Source organism: Homo sapiens, chromosome 17 (assembly GCF_000001405.40).
Source record: "Homo sapiens chromosome 17, GRCh38.p14 Primary Assembly".
NCBI lineage: Eukaryota > Metazoa > Chordata > Mammalia > Primates > Hominidae > Homo > Homo sapiens.
Genome location: NC_000017.11, coordinates 80,715,658 through 80,730,993, shown reverse-complemented (window position 1 = coordinate 80,730,993; position 15,336 = coordinate 80,715,658). Strand labels below are relative to the sequence as shown.

The 15,336-nt window shown below is 46.2% G+C and overlaps 1 protein-coding gene across 2 annotated transcripts in view, besides 2 other annotated features; it reads right to left on the bottom strand.

The window, feature by feature from the left end:
• RPTOR (regulatory associated protein of MTOR complex 1) overlaps positions 1–15,336 on the bottom strand; it is a 421,531-nt gene that overhangs the window by 235,375 nt on the left and 170,820 nt on the right. For both annotated transcript variants that reach the window (NM_020761.3, NM_001163034.2), the window contains exon 5: positions 288–434. In NM_020761.3, coding sequence (NP_065812.1) covers positions 288–434 — 147 coding nt within the window. The remainder of the gene's footprint in view (positions 1–287; positions 435–15,336) is intronic.
• Positions 4,262–5,222: an enhancer, noted in NCBI's record as "H3K4me1 hESC enhancer chr17:78699572-78700532 (GRCh37/hg19 assembly coordinates)". NCBI's record gives its function as "activates a minimal SCP1, AML or CMV promoter by ChIP-STARR-seq in naive H9 embryonic stem cells {active_cell/tissue: H9 hESC(naive)}" and the evidence as "EXISTENCE:reporter gene assay evidence [ECO:0000049][PMID:30033119]".
• Positions 8,987–10,186: an enhancer, noted in NCBI's record as "BRD4-independent group 4 enhancer chr17:78694608-78695807 (GRCh37/hg19 assembly coordinates)". NCBI's record gives its function as "activates an origin of replication core promoter dependent on BRD2, P300/CBP, MED14 and CDK7 cofactors, and independent of BRD4, by STARR-seq in HCT116 cells {active_cell/tissue: HCT116}" and the evidence as "EXISTENCE:reporter gene assay evidence [ECO:0000049][PMID:35650434]".

Here is a 15,336-nt window from a genome sequence, read left to right as displayed (position 1 = left end):
GCTGAGAAGGGAAGATTGCTTGGGCTCAGGTGACAGACATTGCAGTGACTGGAGACGGCACCACAGCACTCCAGCCTGGGCAACAGAACAAGATTATGTTTCAAAAATAAAGTGTGCTGAGTGCCTCCCTAGCTCAACAGCATTGAATATGCCATCCTGCCCTTGGCATTCTGAGCCCTGCTCCATTCAGAGGATGTCCAACACCTCCCAACCTCCCCACCCAAACCCCACCCCCAGGGAAAACAAAACCAAACCCAGCACCGCTCTCCAAGCACCAGAGCGCTCACCTCCAGCTCCTGCTCCCGCTGTAGTGCGAACTGCTTGAAGGACTTGACGATCAAGCCAGCATTGGAGCAGTCGTAGACGAAGATCGACGGGCTGCCCATCCACGTCTGCAGGTCATATATGGACAGAGGGATGTACTGCGTGTAGTTCTAGAAAACACACAAAGTGCGCTCGTTACATGTGCGTCTCAGGAATATGGGCTGCTGGTGAGTACTGCACCGTTACAAAAGGCACACACATTGAGCCTGGTGGCTGGAGAGACGCTGAGTTAGCCTTTATACAAAACTATAAAAAACAGCAAACTGGCCAGGCGCAATGGCTCACACCTGAATCTCAGCACTTTGGGAGGCTGAGATGGGTGGATCACCTGAGGTCAGGAGTTCAAGACCAGCCTGGCCAACATGGTAAAACCCAGTCTCTACTAAAAATACAAAATTAGCCAGACATGGTGAAGGGCACCTGTAAACCCAGCTACTTGGGAGGCTGAGGCAGGAGAATCACCTGAACCCGGGAGGCGAAGGTTACAGTGAGCCAAGATTGCGCCACTGCACTCCAGCCTGGGCAACAGAGCGAGACTCAGTCTCAAAAAACAAAAACCATCAAACTGAATTTCTCCACATCTCCTCTGATGCTGCTTTACTCCAGTAGCGCCCACACCAGGTGGCTGCCAAAGTCATCATCCCTAGCCCCAGGCTCCTCCGCAGCTGCCGCTGGGTTCAGCTGCTGGTCAACTCCTTAAACTTGTCTCAGTTTTCACTGCGGGACCTCCCTCCATGGAACCAGAGCTGTCTCAGTTCCCACTGTGGGGCTTCCCTCATGTACCCCATGGCTGCCTCAGTTCCCGCCGCGGGGCCTCCCTCCATGGACCCACAGCTGTCTCACACACGTGCTCTTCACTCCGTGTCTCCATTTGTCCTTTAACTCTGTCACATCTCTGGGTTTATATAACACAACACACACATCATTTACAAGGGAGGGGAGCTCTAAGAGTTGGCCGGGTCCTCAAATTTGCATGCCACTGTCCCTTTAATTTCAGAGAGGTCCATAAGCACTTTGTCATTGAGATGACTTTTGAAAGATCATACTTAAGGGGTATAAGTGGGTTTGGCTGTATAAATTTATTTCAGTCACAGAACAATAACCTAGTAACACTAATCTGCTGAGTGAAACATTTTTCAGAACACACCATACTGTTCAGCGCCTGAACAGACACTAGTGATTCTGGTAAATGCAGAGGAGAATGTTCTCATCTCACTTGAGAAACACTTACAATCCGAACGCAAAGCTAACATTTTTAAGGAATTCTTCTCCACAGAACACGTTCATTATTTACCTTTCCTTGGACATCAAGAGTGTAAGTAGTGAAGCTGTGGCAGAAATCAAATTCCCAGAAATTGGCAAAAATCAAAGTCACAGTAAAAGTGAGTTTATTTCTTAGCAGCTAAGCCACATATCCTGCCGCTGGTACTGCCTACAGGATTGTTTATAACTCAAGAGGAAAGGGACAGAAGGCCAGATCCAGCAAAGCCTGGGGAAGTATGGCGTGCAGGAAGCCTGCAGAAGCTTTGTCCGTGCACAGCAAAGAAGCAGACAAAAGTTACATTTCAGACATCAGCTACATCTCAGACGTAAGTTATATCTCAGACATGATGATACAGTATACCAACGACGCAGATGTGTGGGGGGTGTGTGGAGACACGTACATCATCGTGGGCAGGACCCCATTCTACCTGTGCTCTGCCAAACATGTTGTTAAAACTGTCCGCGTTTGGTGGACTGTTTATAATCACTGCTCTATAATAGAACACCTGGAAATGCTCTCTGTAAATAAACCCACTGAAGGATCTAGAGATGTCAATTCTTGCCTAATGAATCCAGAAAGTCAGTCCAAGCCTAATCAAAATACCTTCTGGGTTTTTTCCATTCACGGAATTTAACAAGATGATTATATAGTACAGAGAAAAAAAAAAGCACAAGAGCAAAAAAAAATTAATAAAGAATAATGAATAGGGACTCACACTGCCAGATATTAAAGATACTATAAATCTATGGTAATTACAGGATGGTATTAGTGAGGGAGACAAACAAATCAACAGAAAAGAGAGAGTCCAGAAATAGACCCACATACGTAACTCTAATGAGGACAGCATTTTAAATCTGCAAAGAAGGAATTAACAATTCAATAACTGATGCTGGAAACTCTAACCAGCCATTTGGTATTTTGCTATCTGAGATTACACACACACACACACACACACACACCCCAGAGTGGACTGAAAACCTAAATGTAAAAGCACAGGAAAATTTTCATTTATTTTGGCATATGAAAGGCCTTAATTAAGCAAGTCACAAAACCTAATAAGTCTTGAGACTGACTGATACAGTAAGATAAAAAAATCTATAATTCTAATAAAGACATATCAATGACTAGCAATTTTAGAAGAAAGGAGGTACACAGTACATGACAGAGAATTTTTTAGATGTGTCTATATAAACTTCTGCTGCAGATCAACAAGGGACAAAACGAAAACAAACAGGCAAAACATACAAACAGGCAATTCACAGAAGAAAAATGAATCAAAAATGATTCTAAGTTTCATGCTCTTTATTAGAAATGCAAATTACAATGAGAATCTATCTATCTACCTATCGATCCATCCATCCATTCATCCATCCATCCATCCGCCCATCCATTCATTCATCCATTCTGTTTTTATTCAGCAAAGTGGAAAGCAGGATAAAATGTGAATAATGCCCCATTGTGGGAGGATGCAGGGCACTCATCCATCAATGGTGGGAATGTAAATTAATGAAGCTTGTATGGAAGGCAATTGGGAAGTACTTAACAAAAATTTTAAAGGCACATTCCTTCTGACTACTTCTAGATATCCATCCTATAGAAATACTTGCATTTGTACATGAGATGTTTTGACTGGTAAAAAAAAAAGCTGAAAATTATCTAAATGCCAGTGTGGTAGAGACTGCTAGGCTAATATCTGATTTTCTCTCTCTTCTAAAGCAGTTGTAGCTGAGCACATGGCCCAGTTTCCTTTCCAGTGAAGTCTGTCCTGCAGCCAAATTCTGGCCAGCGCGACATGGTCAGAGGTGCAGCGTCCACGTTCTTGGAGCATGACATGATCAGAAGTGCAATGTCCATGATCTTGGAGTGTGACATGATCAGAGGTGCAGCGTCCACGTTCTCAGAGCATGATGTGGTCAGAGGTGCAGCGTCCACGTTCTCGGGGCGTGACGTGGTCAGAGGTGCAGTGTTCACGTTCTTGAAGCGTGACATGATCAGAGGTGCAGCGTCCATGTTCTCAGAGCATGACATGATCAGAAGTGCAATGTCCATGATCTTGGAGTGTGACATGATCAGAGGTGCAGCGTCCACGTTCTCGGAGCATGATGCGGTCAGAGGTGCAGCGTCCACGTTCTCGGAGCATGATGTGGTCAGAGGTGCAGCGTCCACGTTCTCGGAGCATGATGTGGTCAGAGGTGCAGTGTCCACGTTCTCGGGGCGTGACGTGGTCAGAGGTGCAGAGTTCACGTTCTCGGAGCAGGAAGTGGTCAGAGGTGCAGCGTCCATGTTCTCGGAGCGTGACGTGGTCAGAGGTGCAGCGTCCACGTTCTCGGAGCACGATGTGGTCGGAGGTGTAGCGCCCACGTTCTCGCAGCGTGACGTGGTCAGAGGTGCACTTGAGCACGCTTCCTCCTGGAGCCGGAGCTTGCAGGCTGCGCTCACAGGTCCCCAGGGGTTGGGGGAAGCATGCTCCTCTCCTCCCCCACCCACTTCCATGCTGCTGCCAAGGGAAAGAAGGGCCAAAAGACGTCCTTTAATTGGGCAGGATCACCCCCCACGCTGACAGGAGAAAGGATTTTGGCAGCAGCCTGGGACATGGGTGTATCTTTTTACCCCCAGAACACTGCGTGCTATTTATTTACCTCCTATAATGTTCTGGGCTTAGCGAACAGCATCTGAATACAACTTGCCCAGCCCTGACCCTACAGCCACCTGACCCTACAGCCACCTCACAACGTCCTCTGCGCCACCATCAGTGAAACGGGGGCTGCTGTCATCTTTACTACCTTCTAGGTACAACCCCGAGGGTCCCAGGGCTGCAAAGTGGCATGAAATGAAAGATATTTTAACACACCATGTTCTCAGGTCTTGCTTTTTGAGCTGAAATCTATTTTCCACATTTGCCAAAATCAAAATCAAAATCTCCATTTTAAATTCTGAGATGCAAAGTTCAGGAAGATGATCCGTCATAACCATGAGGTACTGCTGCACTAGGACAGCACTGGCAGTCTCTCCCTCCACGCCCCGTGATCTGTGGGCGGCGAGCACCAGGTTACCGGCAGGGTCCTCGTGGCCCAGTCCTGCTGGGGCTGGACCATCTCCACCTCCTAGCGTGCGTCCAGGAGGCAGCACGGCACAGGGCCATGGATGGCCCCAGTTGGTCTCTGCTCTAGGACTTTAAATTCTAAGAGGGGCTTTCACCCCGTAACAGCCACTGGGATGCTGCGCCACAGAACAGCTTTCCCAGCCCCGCCTGCTCTGGGAAGCCTGCTTGGATGTGGGCCTCTGTGGTCGCTTCTCTGTGAGCGGCGTCTGTCCCTCTCAGCACCAGGGCCATTTGGGGCCGGGCCGCTCCTTGTGGGGCTGCCCTGTGCACCACACAATCTTCCGCAGCACCACCCAGCCACCCCCACACCTAGATGTGACAATCTCCAGGTTGCTGGACATTGCCAAATGTCCCAGTGTCCCCTGAGGGGAAAAGTTTCCCTGGTTGAGAACCGCTGCCTTGGAGGAGAGGCGATTTCCTTTCAAACATGAGCTGTATACATTACAGTTAGTGAGACTGCAACAATTTGGAAGTCTGTATCCCTCAGGGAATATAAAACCAACTCTATTAAGCCACAGTGTGGAAAATGACCTTTGATAGCGAATCCTGATTAGAACACGGGATGCAGACCTCATTTCCCATCTCAGAGGTCCTGGGTCGTTTGTCAAGCTCCAGGCCAGAATTATGGCCCCTGCAAACCAGCAAAGGGCAGCCTGCAGCCTCACAGCCCCGGCTGCAGGGGCAGAAACAACGCCCACAGTAGAGTCACTCCTCGTTGTCCTGTGGAATATTCCTCTGTCATCCTGACTGCACCAACCCACACCAGCCCAGAATTGAAAAGCCCCCTGTATACACGGAAGGCTGCTTGGAACACTCAAGAGCTTGTGGCCAATGGTTTTCATTTCTTCTTGATCCAAAACTAAAAGTACAGAGAATAATTCCTAATCAAAGCGTCTCTTCTTTTTCTCCAAGAATCATATTCAAGGCCATGTTTTCTTTTCAAACAAAGAAATAGAAATGGGTTTTAGATAATTTCTTCATTACAATCCACTTTATCTGTCAGGTTATATTAAACATCAGGGGAAGAGTCCGCCTGCCTCACCAGTCTGTCGCCGCAGCCTGAGTTAGCCACCAAGGCAGCCATGGCCGGGAGAGCCCAGCCCACTGAAGCCTGCAGGCTGTCTTCCCACAGAGGGGCAGCCCAGCAGCCCGCCAGCCTCCAAGGAGCTTCCCACAATTCTACATCTCAGGGATTTCTGGTGGAAAGACTGAAACTGGGTTTTGGCTTAAGTTAAATGTGAGCGTTTTATCCCTTTAAATTACAGAGCAGAAGACAAAACGCAAAACCCCTCACATACCAAACAGATGAGTACAAAGAAGAGAACGGCATGTCCCAGGGGAGGCAAGGGGCGTGGTGGCAAGGCATGGCAGGAAGAAGCCCTGGCCTCAGCAAGTTTGCATCCCAGTGGGTGAGGTGGGCAGAACGACACGGTGCCGCCACCCCGTGCTCCAGCTGAAAAGGCAAGCGCAAGTGTCGTGGGGGCGGCTTCTTCTCCCACGGCCCCTCCTCAGATCCAGGCACAGCAGCTCTGACACTGCAGAGGAGGGAACGGGGGGCACACTGGGCAGGTGCAGACAGTCGCCCTCTGGAAGGGCAGGTGGGGTGTCCCAACCCCAACTCCAACCCACCACAGGCTGAGCAGGTAGATGTGATGAGCCTGGAAATTTCTGGCCTCACCACTGTTGGGATGGGAGAACCTGGCCTCGCCGCTGTTGCGATGGTAGAACTCGCAAGCATCTCTGTGGATAGCTGGGATACACAGGAAGACTGCCATCAGCTGAAGGACATGGATCTCCAGGTGGCCTTACCCAAACCTGATTTGGCCATTTCATTAGCCCTGCAAAGATACCATCCTACTTTATACAAACTGGGGTATTTAGCACCTACTAATCAGATCATAGCAGCATTTTCCTCAACATAAAGAAAAATGCCAACTATGCCAGGCAGTAAACATGAGGAAGGGGTGGGTTGCCATGTCTCCTCTCTCCTGACCCTTCCATCCTGGCACTCATGGCCCCCACCTCTCAGGACATGGCCTGGCTTCTCACTTAACAGGAGACAGGCTCCAAGGGGAACCAGCTCTCATGTCCAGCTTCAAAGCTCCACCACATTTGTATTCACCTCTCCTTCCCTCCCACGTCTCAGAGAAGAGTGCTTGGGCTTGCCAAGTCAAATGCTGTATCTCTGTCCTGAATTAATCTTCTCATACCTTCCCATTTCTCATCCTTTACTCCACTGATTTATACTTTCTTCAGCAACCCCCTTTCTCCTATCTACAAACATAAGTTACCTCTTGCAGAAACTAAACATCCCTGCTTAGCCTTGTTCTTTCTTCGAGGTCTCCCCAACAGACAGGCTCCTCTAATCACATGCTCTCTATGTATTTATTGCAAAAATTGTATTACAGAGAAAGCTAGAAAAAACAGTGTTATTCAGTAGTATCACCAAACTTCTGGAAAGATTAGTCTATTCCAGTCCCTAGTCCCTTACCTCCTGTTTAGTCATTAAAATCTAGTTTCCACACCTGTACATAGATACGCAAATCAATATGCATGTGTTTACAGCTTACTACACACAAATGCATCACTTAGCTAAGTCCACGGAGAGGGCCTAGGCCTAGTAACACTAATGCTCCAGTAGTAACGAGCACACAAAGAGGCCACATCTTGGTTTCTAAATCCCACTCTCAAAAAAGCCAAAGATCCTTGGAAAAATGGTTGATCCAGGGCTGTGGTAGAGAAAATGCTAGAAGGTGTGTCAGTGGTCAAAGTTGAAACAATTTCAGTAACAAAATAAATAATGATAATAATAATGGATTATAACCCAAGAAGTAAAATAAATATTAGTGGCTCCATATGGATATAAACAAACAACCAAGTAAATAAACAACAAGAGAAGCAACAATTCTTTCATACAGAAGAATTCCAGTTACTAAACGTGGAAGGAAATAGGGAGGTACAGCACCACCATTAGAACACCAGGATAGTAATTACACATGAATGTTAGAATTAGGGCATGGCAGTTTAAGGAGAAACAGGATATCTGCATACTCTCAAAGTATCTCCTTCAAATGCTTATGAATTATAAAGAAAATAACAACTTCACATTGGAGAAACACACAAGGCACCACTTCAGCCTAGTGATCAAGGTTGGTATCTGCAGTAATAAGAATCACACACACCACGCACCCCCAAACCTGATGCACTGAGAATAACCCATCTGCATTATTCTTCCCAAAACTTTGATCCTCAATCTCATCATGAGAACACATCAGACAAACCCAAAGTGAGGGACATCCTCCAAAACACCTGAGCAGCATCTTACAATGTCATGGTCATGAAAGACAAGAACAGCTGAGGAACCATCCCAGGCTGGGAGGACCAGAGGACAAGGCAGCCAATGTGGGTGGGGGCCTGGGCTGGACCACAAGACATACAGAGGATTACAGCGGCAAGGCTGCTGGCACCAAGGAGGCTGTGTGTGGTTGGCAGTGCTGTAACAACATATGTTTCCTAGATTTGATCGCTGTGCTGAGGTCATGTAAGAGGTTGACACTGGGTAGCTGGATGAAGGACACACAGGAACTCTCTGTGCTGCCTCTGCAACTCTCGTGTACATTTAAAATTATTTCAAATTGTTTTTTAAAAATGCAAACCTAGTTTTGATCCTAACTGCTCTCCAGAAATTACTGAACACATAGTCACCTCTTCACATGCTGCATCCCATGGTCTCTTCCATTCCTGCCCCACCTGACATCTATGCGCCGTCTCCCCTCAAACACACACTCTCTCCCCAGGTCTCCGGCTGCCTCAGCTCATTCTTCCAAAGTTTCCCAGCTTGGGACCCCTCCCTTCCACCCTCCCCTTAAAAACTTATCGTCAGGGGCCTATTCCATTCTTCTTATTCCACATCTTCTCCCAGGCAATCAAATATAACTCCCTGGTTTTAAATACTGCCTAAACATTGAAGTCCCAAAAATGTTCAGCTGCAACTACCACCTCTACAGAGAGTTGGTTATTTTCATTTGATTGCCTGTGACACCTCAAATTCAAAAATTTGAGAAGGGAAAAATAAAACTTATCATTTCCTCTTCCAAACTCAATGATGATGATGATGATGACGGCACTTTGCAACATGCCAAGAACGTGCCACACAAAGGCTTGGAGGGAAGGAAAGGAAGAACTTTTATTGTTTATTTTATGCTTATCTGCACCATTTGAAAAAAAATGAATTTTATAATAAAATATTTTAAAATTAACTAAAAGAAAATCGTGTTAAAAGCCTCATCTTACATATGAGATAACAAAGAATGCACTTCCAATCCCTTGTATTTGTGAAGTCAAAGGAAGTTCCCATCAGCAGCACAATCCACAAGGAATAGGAAGCAGCTGACCTTTGCCCTTAGCTTCATAAAAACCTGAAATATATATATATATACCAAATTGGATAATAATGAAGACTTGTTCTTTTTCAGCTGGCAATAACTTTCTAGCAGAAATGTCCTTCTGGCTATCTTAAGCCTATTAATAAATAACAGGAAAGCTGGCTGTGTTCCTCAACATTCATTTTTTCAGTGGATTAACCAAAATATTTCATCCTTCTCCCCCAAAGTGCATTTCATGTGTATGACTACCAAAATAAGCCCGAGTACCCTGAGGAAGCTTCCAGCATGTTCCAGCATGATGGGCTGGAGACACCCAGCTGCCCAGCCCCACCGACTGAGGTAAGAGCCCAAAGGATGCTCCTGCAAACTGCAGCGCCCTGACGGCCCCGGGTGAGCCAGGAGAGCCCGCTGCTGGGTGTGCCTCTTTCCAGGGCCAGATGCACACGCAGCAGGAAGAGCCAGCATGGCTTCTGCTGCTCCTGCACCAGGTGCGTGCAGGCCCTGCCGAGGAAGTGAGTGATTCTCACACCTCCTTGCTTACCCCTGAGGTTACTCAACTTGCCATCCTTTTTCCCGCTTGCACTTCCGCCGCGTCCAGGAGCCTCAATGACTCACAGTCGTGAGAACAGTTTCCACAGTGCTGCCTGTGCTGCTACGACATCTTTCATCCTACTGACCCCAGGATGACAGAGCACTGGAACCACATCACCTGCTCCCCACGGTGTCACCGGGTCAGAGGGGACTACTTCCTGTCACCAGAGCCCCCTCGCACTCCCAGGCCTCCCCTTGTCTAGCTGGTTCTCACTCCTGCTTGGAGACCCGGCAGACGTAGCCCCTCCTCACCTCCTAGGTGCCTCCCACGAGGCCTTGGTGTTTACCCGGGACTGTTTCTGCCCTAGACGGCTAAAATTAGAGATGGAAAACAAGGGGTCGGGGAAGTGTCTCTCCCGACACGTAAGAAGCAGAGTGACCCCAAACCATAAGATGAATATCCTGCTTGCCTCTCACACCACACTGTCCATACCAGGGGTTCTCAAAGGCAGACAACCCAGACAGCAGCAGAAGCGGCCGCAGCAGCAATTTTGTGGGACACCCAAGAAAGCCAAATCGTCAGGCCCCACCCACGGCCACAGAAGCAGAGGCTCAGGGAGGGCCTGGCAGTCTGTGGCTCCGTGAGCCTGCAGGTGATGCTGGGCGCACTCAAGCATGGGCACCGCAGCGCTATGACCGTGGTTTTAAATGCAGGGCACCCGCGAAGTCAGTGCAGCTGCACTCTCAGGTTTTGTATCTCTTGGCATCAAGGAAATCATTTGTTTGTTAAAGTTTAAGCTCTCATAAAGAAATACTCCAAACATTTCCAGCACTTCTCCCAAAGAAATGGAGTTTTTGTTAATGGCCTTCTACTACTGTAAGCAAACACAAAATGCTAGAATTTCTCAGAAAAGAAAGGTCAAGTTTACCATAAAACTTTTTCTTGGACACCGCTAGATTCTCAAGACGAATAAAGTAACAATTTTAACAAATGATAATTGTGGTCTGACATAAATATCACTTTTTAAAAATCACGTATTTTTCTGATAATAGTGTATTTCAAAAGCTTTATGATCCATCTTTTTTTTTTTGAGACAGTTTCTCTCTTGTTGTCCAGGCTGGAGTGCAATGGCACGGTCTCGGCTCACTGCAACCTCCAAGTCCCAGTTCAAGCGATTCTCCTGTCTCAGCCTCCTGAGTAGCTGGGATTACAGGTGCCCGCCACTATGCATGGCTAATTTTTTTTTGGTATTTTTAATAGAGACAGGGTTTCACCATGCTGGTCTCAAACTCCTGACCTCAGGTGATCCGCCCGCCTCGGCCTCCCAAAGTGTTGGGATTACAGGCGTGAGCCACCGTGCCCGGCCCATGATCCATCTTTCAACAGAAGCAACAATTAACTGTATACCAACACAAGAGGCATCTATTTGATAATGACAATCCCAATTAAAAAAACAAAAAACCAATAAATCCTATTAAATAATATTTATTTAGAATTGCTCATGGAATAATTATTTAACTGTAATAAAAGAAGGGCAGAGGAAGTACCAAAAACACCACCACCAATGACAATAAGCTTGCAGCCTTACGGATTTTACGGGACTGGGGTTTACTGGTGATGTATACTCCCGAGTTGTCTGTTCACAAGTACCGCTTCCCCCCACTCCTGACCTTTCGGGGCCACGACCCCCTGCTTCTGGATGATATGTATTCAAGAACCCCCTTCAGGAGGAGGAGGAATCTGCTGACCCCTGTCCTTTGCCCTCCTCTGAGAATGGTGGCACAAGTCCATCTTTAGTCCAGGGAAAGCTGCGGCGGCAAATCCAGATGAGACCACAGTTCCTGGCTGAGAGTTTAAAGGAAGGCTGTGCCCTTAAGGGGCTTTACAGGAACGAGCCCTGAGAAGATGCCACTTTAATAGGGCTGAGAATTCTGATTCACATTCTGAGTTCTCTGGCAGAAGATGTACTCAGCATCTTCTCAGAAATGGGGAGCTGCTTATTTTGAACAGGACTGCTTCACTTGGAATATAAAGTGCTCTTCTTGCTAAAGGGCCAGACTCCTTGGAATAATGGATATCAATTCCATCTCTGTTCCCCCGGGCTGACAGGTACCCTTCCCGGCTTCCCCCATGCCATTTTCTCCCAATTCTCCTCCCCATCACCTGCCAGGATCCTCTTCTGCTCCCCAGATTTCACTCTCTTGGCCTTCTTCGGCTCTAGAAACTGTATTTTGGGAACCGCCCGCAGCATGTCTGCCCCTACTTCTCACGACCCCATACTCATGGACCTCCGGCCTACTCACAACCTGAGAACAAATGCCCACAAGCTCCTTCTTCTCGCTTCTGGTGCCTGGTCACAGTCCAGGTCTCACCTGCTCCCTCTAACTCAACCTCCACCTGTCCTAGGAAGGTCCTGAGGGTCGCCCCACCAGCCTGACTCAGGGTGCCGCCACTGGCCTCTTGTATACGACGGCCTTCTACCTGGAGTTTCTCTAGCCAGTCTTTTCTCCCCAGAGCCAGGCTTCACACGGCATCAAAAGGATTTATCTAAGCCCACATCCCTAAGAGTCTGCGAGGTGCTCTATGCCTTAGCCTGGAACACTTTCTGGCCTTCTTTCTTTTGAAACCCAATTCAGGCTCCAGGCTCCCATAGCACAGAACTGCTTGTAGTTTCCAATGAATACCATGCTGGTTTATTATATCATCTACTTCCTCTGAGATCATCCCCTCCAGTCCCCTCTCAGGGACAACTGTTGCCTTTGTTCTCTTCTGTAAGACTCAGCCCGAGCAAGCACCGCCTTCTCCAGGAGGCCCCCTCCAACCTTGCCTGCCCACCATGGCTGGGCTGGCACAACTCTCTCTCTCTCTGAAGGGGCCAATATTTTCCCTACATTATCACAATACATCATCATGCAATTCGGCTTTAAGCTAGACTTATAACCAACAATCAGAACAAAACAGTCTTTGCTTTCCGTCTGTGCTCTCCATGATAAGATCCATTTTATGTCCCTATTTAATGTCCGGAGGGGTAAGGGTAGAACATAGTGCAAGACAAAAATGGCCTTTGAGGATGATTTTGGCAGAGGGTAGGGGTTAGGTTGTAAACACCACAGGAAGACCACCGAAGAATTAAAAATTATCCTAAACCAAAAATGCAAAACCACATAAAACTCCAACTTTATGTTCAGTAAATTAAGGAAAGGCAGGTAACCTGGAGCAAAGCTCATCCTACCTAGAGAGGGCACCATGAGCTGTACACACAGGGAAAAGCCTTGTAGCTTTGTGCCTAGGTACACAGCAAAGGGTGGAAATAGCTTCTGGTCACAATGGAACTCTAAAAAGCAGAGAAAAAAAATGTATCAAGTGGGAAAAACCTTTCTCCTTTTGCAAAGAAGAAAAGGCAGACAGGGTCTAAAAGCTAATTGGGAGTATTCGAGTAGTGGATTAATCCTTCTCCCGATAAACGTTCCGCTACGTGAATTCTTAATGGCTACAGCTGCCAGTCCTAATTGCCTGAAACACAGACAGGGGAATGCAAGGGAGGGCGGTGCATGGGGAAAATCTGAGCCCGGATTTTGCTTAAGGCCTGAACCTCAGTTTTCTGCTGAGGCTGAGAAAACAACCAGCAACAGAATAAATGGTGATTAAACAAAAAGAAAAGTATAGTTAAAACTAGCATGTTTAAATGTTTTTAAATCTTACATTGTGTACCGACAGTGTATCATCTGTAATGCTGCAGGCTTCGTTTTGATGGAGGGAGCCTATCTGAAGGCTGAAAGACTCGGCAACAGGACTGCATGCTCTACAGTGCAGCTTATGGCTGTCTAGATCTGGAAGAACACGCGCCTGTCTCCGGTGGCATGCCACGTGATGTGCAAAATAAACCTATGAAAGGATAAACTAATGGAATAACACAGTGGGGGAAAATACAACCAAGAAAGACTTGGCTCTAGGGATCATTCTGTTGCTTTTATGACATTAGCGTAGAATGCAGTGAACATTGAATTACCATTTCCTATGTTCTGAGATGCTTGGTTTTAGGTACCCATGATAAAGCGGTTCATAGAACAAAGACCTTGTTATCCTGGAACTCACATTTTAATGGTGACATAGAGACAATATACATAAGACTGGGAAAAAGCTGTGGAGAAAAACAGACCACACCAGGAGGACTAAAGAGTCAAGGAGAGGGGTGCATGCCACATCTGGTGATCAGATGACATTTCAGTAAAAATATCCACTCATTTCAATGCAATTCCCATCAAAATACCACCATCATTCTTCACAGAATTAGAAAAAACAATTCTAAAACTCATATGGAACCAAAAAACAGCCTGCATAGCCGAAGCAAGACTAAGCAAAAAGAACAAATCTGGAGGAATTACATTACCTGATTTCATACTATACTATAAGGCCATAGTCACCAAAACAGCATGGCACTGGTATAAAAACAGGCACATAGGCCAACGGAACACAATAGAGAACTCAGAAATAAACCCAAATACTTACAGCCAACTGATCTTCAACAAAGCAAACAAAATCATAAAGTGGGGAAAAGACACCCTTTACAACAAATGGTGCTGGGATAACTGGCAAGTCACACGTAGGAGAATGAAACTGGATCCTCATCTCTCACTTTATACAAAAATCAACCCAAGATGGATCAAGGACTTAAATCTAAGACCTGAAACTATAAAAATTCTAGAAGATAACATTGGAAAAACCCTTCTAGAGACTGGTTTAGGCAAGGATCTCATGAGCAAGAACCCAAAAGCAAATGCAATAAAAACAAAGATAAATAGCTGGGACTTAATTTAACTAAAGGCCTTTTGCACGGCAAAAGGAACAGTCAGCAGAGTAAACAGACAACCCACAGAGTGAGAGAAAATCTTAACAATCTACACAACTGACAAAAGACTAATATCCGGAAATCTACAACAAACTCAAACAAATCAGCAAGAAAAAAAAATCCCATCAAAAATTGGGCTAAGGACATGAATAGACAATTATCAGAAGAAGATATACAAATGGCCAACAAACATATGAAAAAATGCTCAACATCACTAATGATCAGGGAAATGCAAATCAAAACCACAATGCAATAGATACCACCTTACCTCTGCAAGAATGGCCATAATAAAAAAATCAAAAAACAGTAGATGCTGGTGTGGATGTGGTAATCAGGGAACACTTCTACACCGCTGGTGGGAATGTAAACTGGTACAGCCACTATGGAAAACAGTGTGGAGATTCCTGAAAGAACTACAAGTAGAACTACCATTTGATCCAGCAATCCCACTACTGGGTATTTACCCAGAGGAAAATAAGTCATTATACACAAAAGATACTTGCACACGCATGTTTATAGCAGCACAATTCGCAATTGCAAAATCATGGAACCAACCCAAATGCCCATCAATCAATGAGTGGATAAAGAAAATATGGTATATATACATGATGGAATACTACTCAGTCATAAAAAGTAATGGATTAACAGCATTCACAGTGACCTGGATGAGACTGGAGACTATTATTTTAAGTGAAGTAACTCAAGAATGGAAAACCAAATATCGTATATTTTCACTGTTACGTGGGAGCTGAGCTATGAGGACACAAAGGCATAAGAATGATACAATGGAATTTGGGGACTTGGGGAGAAGGGTGGGAGGGGGCGAGGGATAAAAGACTACAAGGGTGCAGCAAAATCTCACAAATTACCACTAAAGAA